Raw genomic sequence first — 13,174 nt, forward strand, 5'->3', positions numbered from 1 at the left:
AGATGTGTCATTTTCTGAGTTGAGTGGAACAGGTTTACTTAAGAAAAGCACATCCTTTCACTTTGGCCAAGTCTAGTTTGAGGTGTCTTTGAGACACTAAGTAGGCAGTTGAACAAACAAGACTGGGATTCTGTAGTTGTTAGTTTGCCAAGATTTTCAATTGTTTCCTTAGTCATGACCACTGTTTTTCCTAAAGTGCTACTTTTCTAAGTAACAATTATTTTTTACTAATATAGATGCATACACAGAATTTTCTTTTGATTCTTGGTATAATCAGATCTTATAAGATTGCAGCTTTCTTTTCTTCTTTTTTCTTGATTAAGCTAGTTAACAATTAGATATGTTCTTCTTTGTTTTCATAAGTAAGTCTAGATACTATTTAATTTATACCATTTTCTGTTTAAAAATTCCATAACTTTTGCTTTATATTTATTGATTGTTCTGTTTTGTTTCTTTGTGTTCTCTTATTCTTTGGCTAACTTTTAACATTGAATATTTAGTTGATTTATTTTTATTGTTTGTGTTTACTAGCAAAATTATCTAACTTTGTAAATTTGTGCCCAGTAAAAGCTTTAGCAAGAACCCAGGCATTTTTTTTTTTTTTTAGTGCGTATGGTTCTTATCATTGAATTTGGTAGGTTTTTTTTTTTAATTGCTAGGTCTGGTTTATCCTTTGACTCAACATTTATTTAAGATATTGTTTGTTCTTGACAAATGTACAAGTCATTTGAGTTTTATGCTATATTTTGTTATTAATTTCTCTTTCTCCTGAGCAATGATGTGTAGATTATAAAAATTCTGCATTGGTCAGGTGCGGTGGCTCACACCTGTAATCCCAGCACTTTGGGAGGCCAAAGCAGGTGGATCACGAGGTCAGGAGTTCAAGACCAGCCCAGCCAACATAGTGAAACCCTGTCTCTGCTAAAACTACACAAATTAGCTGGGTGTGGTGGCAGGCGCCTGTAGTCCCAGCTACTTGGGAGGCTGAGGTAGGAGAATCGCTTGAACCTGGGAGTCAGAGGTTGCAGTGAGCTGAGATCACGCCACCGCACTACAGCCTGGGTGACACAGTGGGACTCTGTCTCAAAAAAAAATTCTGCATTTGTCAATGCTAAGTTTTATGTATTTTGGGTGTACCTTGACAAGAAGGCAACAACAGCTGATGTAGGATCAGATACAACACTATGCATTATATCAACCTCATTAATTTTATCCTGAAAATAAAGGAGCTTCTTTTTTTGGTCCAAATGGAGACCTTTTTTAATCTACCAGGAGTTATTAAATATCCTTAGCCTCACTCTCTCTTGTGTTGTCAGCTTCACTCCAGTGCTGATGAACTCAGGGATCTCATCCCTTTGATGTCTTTTCAACTGCAGGATCTTTCTTCCTCATTTTATTGCCTAAGAAGCATAACCTTAAAATGCTCTACAAGGATATTGGCACTTAGCAATACTACAGGAGATCAAACCTAACAAATCTAACACCAAACTTACTCTTGAATTATCTTTCTTCCAGGAAGGTTTGTTCCTGCTTCTCTACTGAGCTTCGGTTACATGTGCATTGACAACGCTCTTCAGACAGCTTGAGCTCTGGCCCTTTAACTCTGGCTCCCCTAAACCTGGGTCTTCCTCTTGTGTTGATAGCCTAGTAAAAACACTCATAAGATTAGCAGAGCTGTGTTAGAGAGAGCACACTGCTCAGATTCTAGTTTGCTACATCCATGGGCATCTCTGTTTCAGGAAGTAGAAAGTAAGTGGGTGTATTCGTTTGTTCCTGCGTTGCTATACAGAACTACCTGAGACTGGATAATTTATAAAGAAAAGAAGTTTAATGTACTCACAGTTTCACAGGCTGTACAGGAAGCATGGCTGAGAAGGCCTCAGGAAACTTAGAATCATGGCAGAAGGACAAGAGGAAGGAGGCATATCTTAAATGGCTGGAGCAGGAGGAAAGAGGGAAGGGGAGATGCTACACACTTTTAAACAATCAGATCTCATGAGAACTCACCCACTATCATGAGAACAGCAAGGGGAAATCTGCTTCCATGATCCAATCACCTCCTATCATGCTCCTCCTCCAACACTGGGGATTGCAATTCACCATGAGATTTAGGTAGGGACACAAATCCAAACCATATCAGTGGGGATTGGTCATTTCCATTGGGATAGAGAGAATAGGATTTTTGAAACTTCTGTGGAAATCATTATTTAACCTTGAAGTACTACACATGTTGGTAATGAGACACATCAATTGACAAGAGATAGTAGTTCTAGGATATTATGGAAGGGGGCAACATGTAAATAGAGAAATAAGGGAAAAATCAAGTTGTGTGTTTAAAATAAAAATCAGGTTAAATTGGAAAATGAGGCTACATGGAAAGGAGGTATTTCAATGGTTCTTGTTGTTCAGTATTATTTCAATTCTTTCTTTCAACAATCATTTTATTTTTGGTTTTCTACATGCCAGACATTATGCTATGAGACTTGCAGTAAATAAAAATAAAACATAAAATTGCAGTTGAATATGATAATGTATTTATGCATAATAAACACTTAAATGGTTATTTTTATTATAATTATTTTTTGGGACTATATATATATTTGCAAGATAATAAATTATTTTCAGCATATGGTAAAATAGTATGAGAAAGAAAATCAAAAAGCTTTTGTGGAAAAGGTGTACTTTGAGTTGTAATTTAAAAGAAGGGCACGACTAGTCTATACTTTACACCTAGCATATTTGCATTGAGTAGAACCATCCCTGGCTTCTCTTGCTGATTTCCTGAGTAGACCCTGTACCAGTCAATCAAGCTCACTGCTTTGCTGCCCTTTGTCTCACTGAGATGGGGCCTCTTGTTATTCAATCTACTCTGTTGGCAATTTATTCTTTGAAATGAATGATGAGTGAATGAAACCCCTATCAACACATCAACAATAAAAACTACCCCTGCCCTGGATTTTAAATAGAAACATTTTAATGAAGGGAAATTAAGAAGATTCAGGTGGCATTTTAAAATAAAATGAAAACCCAATCAAATAAGGATCATACCCAAGCAAAAAACGTCGTGCATCATGGTCTTTTATAGGCAGTTAGTGACTAGCTGGAGGAGACTGAAGGCATCACACACCATATGGCGGATAAATATGGCTTACTTTTAAAATTGCATTTGTGTCACACAATTAAACGTTAAAACTATGCACTCCTAAAGATTCAACTGCAAAACTTGAAGTTTTTGCAAGGTTCATTGTAACCCTTTAGAGATGTTTGGACATAAAATCTATCATTAGAAGCAGAATATCCAAGTAACATGATTCCAAGAAACTATTTTTAAAAAGGTGTAAAAAAATCTTGCAATTCAATGCACAGAGCAGCTCAAATAATAATATTTAACCCAACATACCCCTTCCCAATCAGCAGAAGGCAGCCACGACTATATTTTCCTGGATCCCAGCAAAAGGAAAAAGAGCTTGGGAGCTGATATTTCCCAAGAGGGCGTCAAATGGAGTCGAATTGCTGTGAGGCTGACCCTTGTATTCAGAGCATCTGAGGAGGAGTTTCAGCAGAATTGAGGTCAAGCAGGTGTGTTTAGACATCATTTTGCTGCTGAAGCAAAACCCTAGATTGACTAAATCAGTGCAATGAATCTGGCTTCCAATAGAAATCATAACAAACTTCCAGCTCAAATAGAAAAATTAGCATTTGGTTTCTATACCTTACCCTAATTGAATTTGAAAAAAAGAAAAATCAAATAATATTATTTGTTCTTGCTTTAAGAAAAACTTCTCGGCCAGGCATGGTGGCTCATGCCTGTAATCTCAGCACTTTAGGAGGCTGAGGCGGGCAGATCACCTGAGGTCAGTAGTTCGAGACCAGCCTCAACATGGTGAAACCCCATCTCTACTAAAAAAAATTTAAAAAATAGCTAGGCGTGGTGGTGGGCGCCTGTAATCCCAGCTACTTAGGAGGCTGAGGAAGGGAGAATTGCTTGAACCAGGGAGGCGGGGGTCGCAGTGAGCCGAGATCCCACCACTGCACTCCAGCCTGGGCAACAGCGCGAGACTCCGTCTCAAAAAAAAAAAATTATCTTTCATGTTTCTTTGTCTCATATCAAGAAAGAGAAAATAACTGAAGACTGTAAAGATCACCACTTATCAATAGTGCCAAAGCAGAAGGCTGGAGAAAAGCTCACAGATGTGGTGGCCTTCACTTGCTGCTCCCACTGCCATCTGTAAATGCCTGCAGTCAAGTCCCTGCCTCAGAGGGCTGTTCTATAGACTAAAGGAGTTAATATGTATATAGGGCACTTATAACAGTGTCTAGAACATAATAAGCAATATATGTGCTTGTTGGGTTTTTTTCGTAATTATCATTATTATAGTGATGTTTTTAAATTTTTGGTAGAATGGAAGTGTGATCCAGAGAGTCCAGGGTAATGGGCAATTCAAATAACATTTAATAATACTTCTCATGTGATGAACATTTAATATGTGCTAAGGGCTTTATGTAAAGTTTCTCACTCAATTTTCACAATAACCCTATGTGGTGAATATTATTGTTATCCCAATTTTATAGTTTGGAAGTCTGAGACTTAGAAAGATTAAATAAATTGCTCAGGAGATCACACAGCTGAAAAGTGGTTGCATCAGCACATTCTCCAGGCAATCTGATTGAAGCAGCTGCTCTTAATAACTAAAGTAAAAGTTCAAAACAAACTAACAAAAGCAGGATTTATAATGGCCAAGATAAAAATGTAAATTCAGTGTAATCTAAATTTGACATAGTTTTGCATAGCATACCAAACACATATCATATGACACAGTCATCTATGCCACCTACATGGCAAATGTACAAAGATGACAAATATATGCATACTACATAAAGATTTCTTCATTTATTTGGGAATAAAATAGCAATCAATAATATTGAAAAGATCTCAGAGAATCTTTTTGTATTTTAAGATTTAAGTACTTATGTCCAAAGTCTGGAGGGAATAAGGGCCCCTTAACTGTTCTTTTCCTTAGTACGTGTCTGTATTAGTTAGGGTTCTCTGGAGGGACAGAACTAGTAACATATATATATACATAAAGGGGAGCTTATTAAGTATTAATTCACACAATCACAAGGTTCCACAATAGACTGTCTGCAAGCTGAGGAGCAAAGAGAGCAGTTTGAGTCCCAAAACTAAAGAACTTGGAGTCTGATGTTCAAGGGCAGGAAGCATCCAGCACGGGAAAGAAATGTAGGCTGGGAGGCTAGGCCAGTCTAGTCTTTTCACATTTTTCCAGGATTCTCACTAATCCCTAGCCACAGCCCAGACTCTGGTTTAGCTTCTTACTTCCCTTTCTTGCTCTAGTCCCTAACCAAACTAAATAAAATTACACATTTCATCATACATCATAAGTAGGGCCACTACTAAAATTCAGGAGGTTTCTGTAAAACCTGATAGCTTGTACATTTTTAACTATAAAAAGACAGCGAGACTCCGTCTCAAAACAACAACAACAAAAAAGATGGCAAATCTGTTATTGAGACTAAAAAGTTCAAGGACCCTTTCATTCCTCCCACTTCTTGAGTTTAAAGCCTCAGAGACAAAGTAACATCAGGGTACTATCCCAAAAATATTCTCTGATTTCAGCTGTCATCATGTAACTTCCTGGATCCCTTCAATTTGAATTTCAAATGCAGCATTACTGAATTCTCAAGGGCTTAAAGACATATTATTTTTTTCCTGTGGTGACTTATGACCAATAGTACCAAAGGATAAGCTTTCTCAGCTGGCAGGGTGAAGGTGTTATTTAGAATCATAGACTTTCCCATAGTTAGATTAAGAAGGAATCTTGTAAAACAGTGTAATTAAAATTATGGCTCATGGTTATCCATACCAGAATTCAGATAGAGCAATAAATATTATTGGGCTCCATCTAAAACTTGAAAAAAAATATATAGAAGTTATGGGCATCTATATTTGAAAATGTTCCCCGTTAACATTTAATAGTGAAAATCTTCAAACCACTGTCATAAGTCATCTCACACTACAGATGATAGCTGAGCATCTGTGTACAAACACATGTACATATCTAAACATATAAGTATATATGTTATATATAGATTCCACATTTTAAAAATTTATGACTATGAATATTACTGTGTTATTTTTAATGTGCTCTGCATTAGAATGATCTGATGTTTTTCTAGGTTGTTTGTAATGTCCCAGACCCTAATCTTGAACTGAAAGTTCAGGAGATGTGATTTTCGTTGCCAGCTTTACCACTCGCTATTTGAATAATACCAGATCTCAGTGTCCTCATTCTAAAATGAAGGACTGGCTATCTTTGAAAACCATTTCAGTCCCAAAATTAAATAACTGTATTGAACACTGATTTGAAACTGGGGAACTATGTGGTTAAGAGACAGATTGTAAGACAAATGGCAGCCATCCAGTCATGTGCTCTCAACAGAACACTAAGAAAAAATTACAGTCTCATCTGCCTAATTAATTCTTCAGTTAAATTAAAAATTATATTTGATTAGGTTTGCAAAGGGCACTGACACTAGGCTTACCAGTGGCTCTAAATGCATGGTCTCCAAATGCCAGAAAGGAAAAAAGTCCCTTATACTGGGATCAGAGTTTCTCCAAGCAGAGAAGTTTAATGCTAATGCGGATTTTGGTTCCAGAAAAATATATTGAATTCAAAAATATGGACTGCACAAATTTCATATGGTAGAAAGACAGCTTAATTCTAATCAGATGCAATAGTCAGGGAAGGTAAGTGATTGAGAATGACAGGTAAACCACAATTGTGTAATGATTTGTTCTTCTATAAAGCTGAGGAATCCTTTAGGGTTGCATAGGCATGCTAAAGAAGTCCATTAAGCTACCACAAAGGAAATGGATTGAAATAGGATTCTTCTAAGATTGTTTATGTGGATGCTTAGGAGATTTGAATTATTTCTCATGGTAGTTGTTCTCAGCAAGTCAATAAATTGGAATGAAGATATATAGTTGACATCTAATACCTTTTTCCATCTCATATTTATGTATAACAACAGATTTTCATCTTTTAGATGTGTCAAATTAAGGGTGAAAATGGATTGAAATATCATATATTGGACACAGGGGTCAGAAACAGGACAGAAAAGTCACACCAAGAACGCCAGGCATTTTGTGTGATGGTAACAGTACATGAACAAAAGCCAGATTTGGAACGTGAGTCAGGAGTGTATGAGCTCACATTTATTGTTCAATAATACAGATGCATGCTGCTAAAGAAATTTTGGCATTGAAATGGAAATAAAAAGTAGTAATAAAAATATCCATGACATGTGAGGGGCTTTTAGGTGCATGAGGCACTTTTCTGCATGTGCTGATGGATTTAAGGTGTGTTCAAACACAAAGGCTGGTCAGATACTGCAATCACAAGATGCAGGGAAAGATTGGATTTCATGAAACTAACCAAATTTGGGGCTCTGGTAACGTTTGCTCAGCACCTGGTTGCTGCCTCAGCAAAAAACCAGCTGGCAGCTGTTTTTTGATTAGTTTTGTTTTATAAAGCTTTGTTATTTATTGTCCAAATGCTCCTCATGAATTTCCAGAAGCAGAAACATTCAGACCAGTAAAGATTGAGGTGGTTTGTTTGGGTTAATGAGAAATGCTGCCTTCATATAAGTTTCCTGTTATTCTCCCTCATATTATTTTCCAAGTGGTATGAACTAAAGGTCTCCCCCTGATGGCTTCTCCATCTGAAGATGTTCAGTGAGGAAATTCAATATGTCCAAATAGTCAAAATACCATCATACTTTATGTCCTAAACTCAAACTGTTCATCTGTGCTCATGAACGTATCAGCTCAGAGTGGGATATTAGCATCACTGTTCACCCCCAGGCAGAGGAAATGCTGACCATTTCCATAAAACACACTCCAAGACCACATCCAAGCCCCCACTGGGATTTTTTCCTGATATGAATAAGGGCACATTTGGAATTTCAAGTGGAGCAGAGCACTTGAATTCAAACCAGGTCTAACTGGCAAATGATTTTAGGTAAAGTAATAGTTTGAAATACTTTCTCTAAAACTATTTAAAATACTCACACCTGGCTTGGATCTCAAGAATATTATACAGTGAACATAATGTCTACAACAGTATTTAGCAGGATCTGATGGCTGTGGAATGTTCTTAGAGGGGTTACTATTCAGCCGCGAGGGGCAGGAGGGTAGAGGGAGCAGTTTTCCTGGTTTATAGTGGTGGTCAATTCTTACAATGTGTGGGCAATCTGAAGCATTTTGTATCGGGTACCTAATTATACTTTTGTAGCCACCCAATGGGTTCACCTTGACCACCGCCTAGACAGAGCCAATTTCTCAAGTCAGGGAAATTCCAGTAGAGAAAGAGTAGTTCATGCAGAGCTGGCTGTGTGGGAGACTGGAGTTTTATTATTACTCAAATCAGTCTCCCTCAGCATTTGGGGAGCAGAGTTTTTAAGGACAACTTGGCAGGTGTGGGGAAGCCAGTGTGTGGGGAAGCCAGTGATCCAGGAGTGCTGATTGGTCAGAGATGAAATCATAGGCAGTCGAAGCTGTCTTCTTGCCCTGAGTCATTTCCTGGGTGGGGGCCACTAAATCAGATGAGCCAGTTTATCAGTCTGGGTGGTGCCAGCTGATCCATCAAATGCAGGATCTGCAAAATATCTCAAGCACTTATCTTAGGGGCAGTTTAGTGAGGGTCAGAATCTTGTAGCCTCCAGCTGCATCACTCCTAAACCATAATTTCTAATCTTGTGGCTAATTTGTTAGTCCTACAAAGGCAATATAGTCCCTAGGCAAGAAGGCGGTCTGCTTTGGGAAAGGGCTGTTATCATCTTTGTTTTAAACTACAAACCAAATTTCCCCAAAGTTAGTGCAGCCTAAGCCCAGGAATGAACACAGACAGCTTAGAGGTTAGAAGCAAGATGTAGTTGGTTAAGTTAGATCTCTTTCACTGTCTCAGTCATAATTTTGCAAAGGCGGTTTTAATCTGGCAGCAACTTGACAAAGTAGGTATTGTTGATTCCTCTGAATACACAGAAAAGGAAAAAAAAAAGATAAATCATCTTTCCAAAGTCTTGCAGTATGTGAACGGGACCAGTATTTCCACTAAAGGGGATGCAGTTTGTAAAATTCTTCCACTAAACCGTAAGTCTTTATTTTGACCCTATTCACAATCCACAGGCTCTATCTTTATATTATTATTATTGTTGTTGTTAAGGTGGTCCTCAATAGTCAAAATGTTACCAGAAAGGGGTCCTGATCCAGACCCCAAAAAGGGGTTCTTAGACTTCACACAAGAAAGAAGTCGGGGTGAATCCATAAAGTGAAAGCAACCTTATTAGAGAAATAAAGAAACAGAAGAATGGCTAGTCCATAGACAGAGCAGCAACTTGGGCTACTCAACTGATAATACTTACAGTTATTTCTTGATTATATACTAAACAAAGTATGGATTATTCATGAGTTTTCTGGGAAAGGGGTGGGCAATTTCCGGAACTGTGGTTCCCCCCGTTTTTAGACCAAATCGGGTAACTTCCTGACATTGCCATGGCTTTTGTAAACTGTCCTGGCACCTGTGGGAGTGTCTTTCAGCATGCTAATGCATTATAATTAGCATATAATGAAGACTGAAGACGGCCAGAGGTCACTTTCATCACCATCTTGGTTTTGTTGGGTTTTGGCTGGTTTCTTTACCACCTTTTTATTAGCAAGGTCTTTGTGATTGGTACCTGGTGCTGACCTCCTATCTCATCCTGTGACTAAGAATGCCTGACCTCCTGGGAATGCAGCCCAGTAAGGTCTCAGCCTTATTTTACCCAGCCCTTATTCAAGATGGAGTCACTCTTCTTCAAACACCTCTGACAACAATGCTACCAACAAATTTAAGAAATACATTAAACAGATAACTACTCTGTGTTTTTGCTGAGATGCACACCAGAGTCCAGGTTTCAGAACAACAACAAAATTAAACAAAAAATATTAATGTTATTGCTTTTCTTATGAACAAATCAAAGATCAGTATAAACTTATTCCTGTGTGTTCATTAAACACAAACAAGGCACTGGAAGTACCACAGGTTGACAGGGAAGGATCCCATAGTCCTTTTTCCCCAGAAGCTTAGAGAGTATCTTAAGAAGACCACATCAATAAATAATAGGAATGTAATGATAATATATGCAAATTTATTAATGAACAGGGAACAATAAGGGGGCAGCTAAAAGTATAATTAATCATCTAGAGAAGATACTAAGATACTAGAGAATTCTACCCAAAAGAAAGAAACCGATTTGAATACTGAAATTGATCAAGTATGATCCCAAAGTGTGTGCTTGTATGGAAGGACGGCATGGAGGAACGAGGGCCTGTGCCTCTCTGGAAACAGTGCCTGTCATCACTGGAGAATAGTGACAAATGGGAAGATGAATGTGGGACAGGATAGCAGCTGTTTCGTATGCTTACATCTGGATTTGGAATTCTACTTTCTAGGGCAGAGGTAATAAACATAGCTTTCTGGCTTGCAGATGAATTGCCTTTGTTCGGCAGGATGTTTCTAAATTCACTGGCTGTTCAGCACTCTACAGACCCTATTGCTCTCTATTGCATTGTTTTGGCTCTCCTCTTGTTTCTGTGACCTGCTAACCTGCCTGGCCCCCAGAAGGATTTTGAGCATGCAACCCTGTTATGAGACATAATGATCCATCAAGCATTTTGAATCTAGAGTGACATGCTAAGAAGTGGATTATTAAGAACATTTTCACAAATGTGTAAACAGGTATTAAAACAAGGTGAGAAAGGTTTTAAGATTCCAGGAGACAGATAAAATGTACCTGAGATAGAAAAATAGCAAAAGAGGGGCTGGGCATGGTGGCTCATGCCTGTAATCCCAGCACTTTGGGAGGCCGAGGCGGCTGGATCACCTGAAGTCAGGAGTTCAAGACCAGCCTGGCCAAAATGATGAAGCCCCATTTCTACTAAAAATACAAAAATTAGCTAGGTGTGGTGGTGGGAACCTGTAATCCCAGCTACTTGGGAGGCTGAGGCAGGAGAATTGCTTGAACCCGGGAAGTGGAGCTTGCAGTGAGCCAAGATCATGAGACTGCACCCCAGCCTGGGTGATAGAGCAAGACTCCATCAAAAAAAACAAACAAAAAAAAAAAAAAAAAAAGAAAGAAAAACAAAAATAGCAAAAGAGATAGAAAAATGAAAAAATAATCTGTGGTAGAATGGACAAGATACAATGATTAATTGAATGTTAATAATTGTTACAGGAATAGGAAAATTGGTAAAGTTTCAAATTCCAAATTCTTATGCACCTATATAGTAACACAAGTAAAGGAAAAGCAGTAAATAAAGAAAAAATATCCCATTTTCATTAGTTGTTGATAAAGGGTTAACTGGGCATGGTTAATGCAATTAAGCAATCCAATATATTTGAAATTGGGCATGGAGGCTGATAGGCAAAAGATTGTTAAACCAGAAGTACTGATTAATTACTTTATTGGACCATTAAACATCTGGCTTTCCTTTGTTACCCAATAAACTTAAACAGTTCATTAAAAACCAATGAAACATGACAAAAAAAATAGAGGTTTTGTTTTCTTATTTCTTTCAGTTTACCTATGGATTAGAGGATTTTATTTCCTTTTGAACTCACTTCCAAAAGCCTGATGGAAAGTCACGGATGTTGCTAAGTGATAGGAAATTGCTACCCCCAACTAAAAATCAGAAATTGCAAACCTATAACTCTTTAGTGATTGCAAATAAACCAAGTTGCAGAAGTAAGTAGGGAGGAAAAATTCCTTTCTTTTTGTGATATACACCACTGGATATAGACTTTCTGAAATTTATTTGCAACTCCAATGTTAACACTTCTTGGCAACCATTCCTTTCAGGGTACTATTTAACAACCATAAGTAGGTCAGAGCATTGAATGAAGACGACTTTGAATTCACGTTAAAATATATATACAGTTAGTGGTATAAATAAATTACTAAAGTTCCACCATACTAAGCAATTACTGTAGTATTTCATTTGTCTTCACAGATACAACTAGATAAAGAGATATGTCTATATCTAGATCTATAAGCTGTAAGGATTGTATTATACAGCTTATTTTTTAACTTTTATTTCTCACTTATTACATTTCTGAATATTTTTCTATATCAGATCCTTGATAGACAGATACTGCTTCAATCATTTATTATTGAACCAAGTAACTTTTATTGCAAATGTGCATTGTTATTAATTTTTTCAATTATAAATACTCTTCTGTTGAAAACTCTTGTCAAACATAAATGTGGTTTTATACAGTTATGCACTTTGGATAAATTCTGAGAAGTAAAATCTGTTGATTACAAAACAGGTAGCCAAGGTTCTTGTGTGTGTTGCCAAACTGAAACACATTAACTGAATTGAATTAATTAAATTAGTGATGTGGTTTGGCTCTGTGTCCCCATCCATATCTCATCTCAAATTGGAATCGCCACTCGTGGAGGGAGGGACCTGGTGGGAGCTGATTAGCTCATGGGGGTCGGTTTCTACCTTGCTATGCTCATGATAGTGAGTGAGTTTCATGAGAGCTGATGGTTTTAAAGTGTGGATTTCACTCCTTGCTCTCTTTCTCTCCTGCCACCTTATGAAGAAGGTGATTATTTCCCCTTCCCCTCCACCATGATTGTAAGTTTGCTGAGGCTTCCCAGCCATGCGGAACTGTAAGTCAATTAAACCTCTTTTATTTATAAATTACCCAGTCTTAGGTAGTTGTTTATAGCATGTGAAAACAGACTAATGCAATTAGAAAGAGTATTAATTAATTGTTAATTTAAGATCCAACGCATGAGGATGCTGCTGCAGCCATGAGATGCAGGAAACAATGATATAGATTTTGAACATCTCCAAATCTATATATTAAGACAGAGTAAATAGCAAAACCAAAGACATGGAAAATACTAACAATAAAATTAGGTTACAGATTATACCTACAAACCTCACATTATAAGCAGATAATTATAAACTTCCATTAGCCACAAAATCCACCTGATATCAGTGTCTCTGTGGAAGGGAACAAAGGGAAGGAATGGAGTGGCTGGCAGACATGCACTCTTACTGGCTAGCATGACTGTAGCATATTCTCCATACACTTTCATGGGC

The sequence above is a fragment of the Homo sapiens genome, chromosome 10, assembly GCF_000001405.40.
Source record: "Homo sapiens chromosome 10, GRCh38.p14 Primary Assembly".
Classification (NCBI taxonomy): domain Eukaryota; kingdom Metazoa; phylum Chordata; class Mammalia; order Primates; family Hominidae; genus Homo; species Homo sapiens.